Source organism: Homo sapiens, chromosome Y (assembly GCF_000001405.40).
Source record: "Homo sapiens chromosome Y, GRCh38.p14 Primary Assembly".
Lineage (NCBI taxonomy): Eukaryota > Metazoa > Chordata > Mammalia > Primates > Hominidae > Homo > Homo sapiens.
Window position 1 is genome coordinate 16,221,229 of NC_000024.10, and position 5,887 is coordinate 16,227,115.

The window sequence follows — 5,887 nt, forward strand, 5'->3', positions numbered from 1 at the left end:
AGTTTGCTATAATTTCTGTGCTTTTACATTTGCTGAGGAGTGCTTTACTTCCAACTATGTGGTCAATTTTGGAATAGGTGAGATGTGGTGTTGAAAAAAAATGTATATTCTGTTGTTTTGGGGTGGAGAGTTCTGTAGATGTCTATTAGGTCTGTTTGGTGCAGAGCTGAGTTCAATTCCTGGGTATCCTTTTTAACTTTCTGTCTCATTGATCTGTCTAATGTTGACAGTGGGGTGTTAAAGTCTCCCATTATTATTGCATGGGAGTCTAAGTCTCTTTGTGGGTCACTGAGGGCTTGCTTTATGAATCTGGGTGCTCCTGTATTGGGTGCATATATATATTTAGGATAGTTAGCTCTTCTTGTTGAATTGATCCCTTTATCATTATGTAATGGCCTTCTTTGTCTCTTTTGATCTTTGTTGGTTTAAAATCTGTTTTATCAGAGACTAGGATTGCAACCCCTGCCTTTTTTTGTTTTCCATTTGCTTGGTAGATCTTCCTCCGTCCCTTTATTTTGAGCTTATGTGTGTCTCTGCATGTGAGATGGGTTTTCTGAATAAAGCACACTGATGGGTCTTGTCTCTTTATCCAATTTGCCAGTCTGTGTCTTTTAATTGGAGCATTTAGCCCATTTACATTTAAAGTTAATATGGTTATGTGTGAATTTGATCCTGTCATTATGATGTTAGCTGGTTATTTTGCTCATTAGTTGATGCAGTTTCTTCCTGGCCTCGATGGTCTTTACAATTTGGCATGATTTTGCAGTGGCTGTTACCGGTTGTTCCTTTCCATGTTTAGCGCTTCCCTCAGGAGGTCTTTTAAGGCAAGCCTGGTGGTGACAAAATCTCTCAGCATTTGCTTGTCTGTAAAGTATTTTATTTCTCCTTCACTTATGAAGCCTAGTTTGGCTGGATATGAAATTCTGGGTTTAAGAATGTTCAATATTGGCCCCCACTCTCTTCTGGCTTGTAGAGTTTGGGCTGAGAGATCCGCTGTTAGTTTGATGGGCTTCCATTTGTGGGTAACCCGACCTTTCTCTCTGGCTGCCCTGAGCAATTTTTCCTTCATTTCACCTTTGATGAATCTGACAATTATGTGTCTTGGAGTTGCTCTTCTCTAGGAGTATCTTTGTGGAGTTCTCTGTATTTCCTGAATCTGAATGTTGGCCTGCCTTGCTAGATTGGGTAAGTTCTCCTGGATAATATCTTGCAGAGTGTTTTCCAACTTGGTTCCATTCCCCCCCGTCACTTTCAGGTATACCAATCAGATGTAGATTTGGTCTTTTCACATAGTCCCATATTTCTTGAAGGCTTTGTTCGTTTCTTTGTATTCTTTTTTCTCTAAACTTCCCTTCTCGCTTCATTTCATTCATTTCATCTTCCATCGCTGATATCCTTTCTTCCAGATAATCGCATCAGCTCCTGAGGCTTCTGCATTCTTCACATAGTTCTCGAGCCTTGCCTTTCAGCTCCATCAGCTCCTTTAAGGACTTCTCTGCATTGATTATTCTGGTTATCCATTCATCTAATTTTTTTTCAAAGTTTTTAACTTCTTTGCCATTGGTTTAAATTTCTCCTGTAGCTCGGAGTAGTTTGATCATCTGAAGCCTTCTTTTCTCAACTCATCAAAGTCATTCTCCGTCCAGCTTTTTTCCATTGCTGGTGAGGAGCTGCATTCCTTTGGAGGAGGAGAAGCACTCTGCTTTTTAGAGTTTCCAGTTTTTCTGCTCTGTTTTTTCCCCATGTTTGTGGTTTTATCTACTTTTCGTCTTTGATGATGGTGACATACAGATGGGTTTTTGGTGTGGGTGTCCTTTCTGTTTGTTAGTTTTCCCTCTAACAGACAGGACCCTCAGCTGCAGGTCTGTTGGAGTTTGCTAGAGGTCCACTCCAGACCCTGTTTGCCTGGGTATCAGCAGCCATGGCTGCAGAACAGTGGTGGCAGTAGAACAGTGGATATTTGTGAACCGCAAATGCTGCTGCCTGATCGTTCCCCTGGAAGTTTTGTCTCAGAGGAGTACCCGGCCGTGTGAGGTGTCAGTCTGCCCTTACTGCGGGGTGCCCCCCAGTTAGGCTGCTCGGGGGTCAGGGACCCACTTGAGGAGGCAGTCTGCCATTCTCAGATCTCCAGCTGCGTGTTGGGAGAACCACTACTCTCTTCAAAGGTGTCAGACATGGACATTTAAGTCTGCAGAGGTTACTGCTGTCTTTTTGTTTGTCTGTGCCCTGCCCCGAGAGGTGGAGCCTACAGAGGCAGGCAGGCCTCCTTGAGCTGTGGTGGGCTCCACCCAGTTGGAGCTTCCCAGCTGCTTTGTTTACCTAATCAAGCCTGGGCAATGGCAGGCACCCTTCCCCCAGCCTTACTGCCACCTTGCAGTTTGATCTCAGACTGCTGTGCGAGCAATCAGCAAGACTCCGTGGGTGTAGGACCCTCTGAGCCAGGTGCAGGACATAATCTCCTGGTGTGCTGTTTTTCAAGCCCGTTGGAAAAGCTCAGTATTAGGTTGAGAGTGACCCGATCTTCCAGGTGCCGTCTGACACCCCTTTCTTTGACTAGGAAAGGGAACTCCCTGACCCCTTGCACTTCCCGAGTGAGGCAATGCCTAGCCCTGCTTCAGCTCCTGCATGGGGCACTGCACCCACTGTCTGGCACTCCCTAGTGAGATGAACCCGGTACCTCAGATGGAAATGCAGAAATCACCCATCTTCTGCGTCACTCACACTGGGAGCTGTGGACCGGAGCTGTTCTTATTCGGCCATCTTGGCTCCACCCCCATATATACTTTTTTATAATATATAAATGAATACCCATCTCCATATTTAAATTACAGCTTTTTGTTGGGCACGGCAGATCATGCCTGTAAGTCCCAGGACTTGGCGAGTTTGGGATGGAAAGACTGCGAGAGCTCAGGAATTGGAGAGCAGCCTGCACAACATGGTAAATCCCTGTCTCTACCAAAAATACAAAAATTATATAGGCATCACAGTGCATGCCTGTGGTCCCAGCTACTGGAGACAGCGGCTGAGGTAAGAGGATTGCTTGAACCCCAGATGTTTAGGTTGCAGTGAGTCCAGATCACACCACTGCACCATAGCCTAGGCCACAGAGCAAGATCCAGTCTCAAATAAATAAATAAATAAAATAAAATAAAATATATTACATCTTTATATGTGTGCCTAGTTCTGTTTAGTAAAATTATTATAAATAATAATAATATATACAATATACTTACATATCACTGTATTAGTTCATTTTCAGACTGTTTTAAAGAACTACTGGAGACTGGGTAATTTTTAAAGAAAAGAGGTTTAATAACTTAGAGTGCTGCAGGGCCTGGGAGGCCTCACGGAACTTATAATCATGGCGGAAGGGGAAGCGGAAGCAAGGCACATCTTCTCATGGCAGCAGGAGGGAGAGGGAGCAAGGAAGTGCCACATTTTTAAACCATTAGATCTCGTGAGAACTCACTATCTTGAGAACAGCAAGGGAAAAATCCCCTAGGATCCAATCACCTCCCATCAGGCACCTCCCTGGACATGTGGGGATTACACTTCACAGTGAGGTTTTAGTGGGAACGCAGAGCCAAATGCCATCAATAATATGTAATTACATTTATTTATACATGTACACTGATATATTTATATATAGACTTGTATATATGTAAACATACATTTATGTATTTATTTACAAACTTGTATACATATAAATTGATATACAGATGGTCTTTCACTTGAGATGGTCCCATTTACAACTGCTGGACTTAATGGTGGTGTGAGAATAGCATGCATGCAGTAGAAAGTGCTGTTTTCCCCTCTTGCCAGGCTACAGGGAGCCAGTTCCCACTCAGCCTTGCAATCACAAAGGTTCATAGGCAAAACTCTACAGTGTTCTGTGTTGCTAGAGGAGTTTGCTCCATGATAGGTTATACAAGTGCTTTGAGCATATTTAAGGTATGCTAGGCAAAGCTATGATGTTTAGTAGGTTAGGTGTATTCAATGCATTTTCAAATTTTGGTATTTTCAACTTGCTATGGGTTTATTGGGACATAACCCCATCATAAGTTAAGGAGCGTTTGTACATAAACTTGTGTTTGTGTGTGTGAGTGTGTGTGTGTGTGTGTGTGTGTGTATATACACCTACACATATATATGTATATGGTACATATCTATAACTTGGATCTATGCATATTTCATATGTTTTTGAATATTTAATATATACATTTTAAACCAATACATACATTTATATGAACATTTAACATATACAGTTAGCCGTTGAGCAACATGGGAGGTAAGGAACAAACCTCCATCCGACTCTCATGTATAGTTGAAAATCCATGTATAATTTTTACTCCCGCAAAACTGAAGTATTAATAGTATACTGTAGATTGGCTATTACCAATGATATGAATGGTCAATTAACACACATTTTGTACATTATATGTACTATATACTGTATTTTTACAATAACGTAAGATATAGAAAATAAAATGTCATTAAGAATATTCCAAGAAAGAGAAAATACATTTATTATTCACAAAGTGGAAGTGGATCATCTTGAAGGCCTTCAGCCCCATTGTCTTCACCTGGAGTGGACTGAGGAGGAAGAAGGGAAAGGGTTGGTCTTGCTATCTCAATGGTGGCAGAGGTGGAAGGAAATCCACATATTAGTGACTCACACAGTTCAAACCCATGTTGTTCAAGGGGCAGCTGTATATGCATATACACACATACATACACATTTATATTTAAATTATATCATTATATATGTAGCTACTTGTGTTCAGTAAAATTAATTTTGTTACACTCTTGAATATTTTTTGTTATTTACATTTCTTCCATATGTTTCATGATTTCAAGACACAAAAAAATAGACACAATATTCTGACTGAATAATTATGTTATGGGCATCCAGGTAGTTCTGTTTAGACAGTTGCTAAACCACCAGCTACACAGACACATTTTATAGAATTGCCATATAAAAGGAGATACACTAGATTATTTTTATGTCATTAATTGATATACAACATGGGCATTTTTACCCAAGGGCTTCCTCTGTCATAGGATGTTTACTCAATTTATGTGAACAAATTCCAATTTGCAGTGGTGTGCCCTAAAAGCCAAAAAGAATGCAGTGAATTTTAAATCTAGTGTGTTTGATGTTCTAAATTTGGAAAATATTTTAAAAATGTTCATTGTTACAGCAATTCTTACATGTGTGTATATATGTGTGTGTGTGTCTGTGTGTGTGTATAAAATAAATGCCATATATATACATATACATTTATATATTCGTTGCATTTGTGCTTTTTATTAAATATAATGATTATTGGTAAATTTGAAGCTTGTTTGATGGCAGTCCCCTCCCTATAGCTGCCAAGGTGATGGTGGATTGTTGCTTTCAACAAATTTCACTTGGTAAACTTCAACTTTACCAATAATAATTTTATTTAATGAAAAAAAGTAATGTAAATGTAATATTTTAAAAATTCATCTCTAATCTCTGTTTTTTTCCAAGGGTCAACTGTACATGTTAAATGCTTATTAAAATGTATATATTGTTCAAAGGTATATATAAATGTGTATGACATTTGTTTTATTATATATACACAAATCTATATACATACATTTACACATACATACTGATTATTCTAACAGTGCATATGTACATATTGATATAATATGTATATATAAATGTATATGACATTTTTCTTTATGTATATACACATATAAGCATACCTATATGTAACATGCTGATTTACTATAACAGAGCACATGTATATGTTGATATAAAATATATATAAATGTATAGGACATTAGTTTTACACATATATACACACATACACATACACAACACACACATGCTAATTATAACAGTGCACATCTTTTA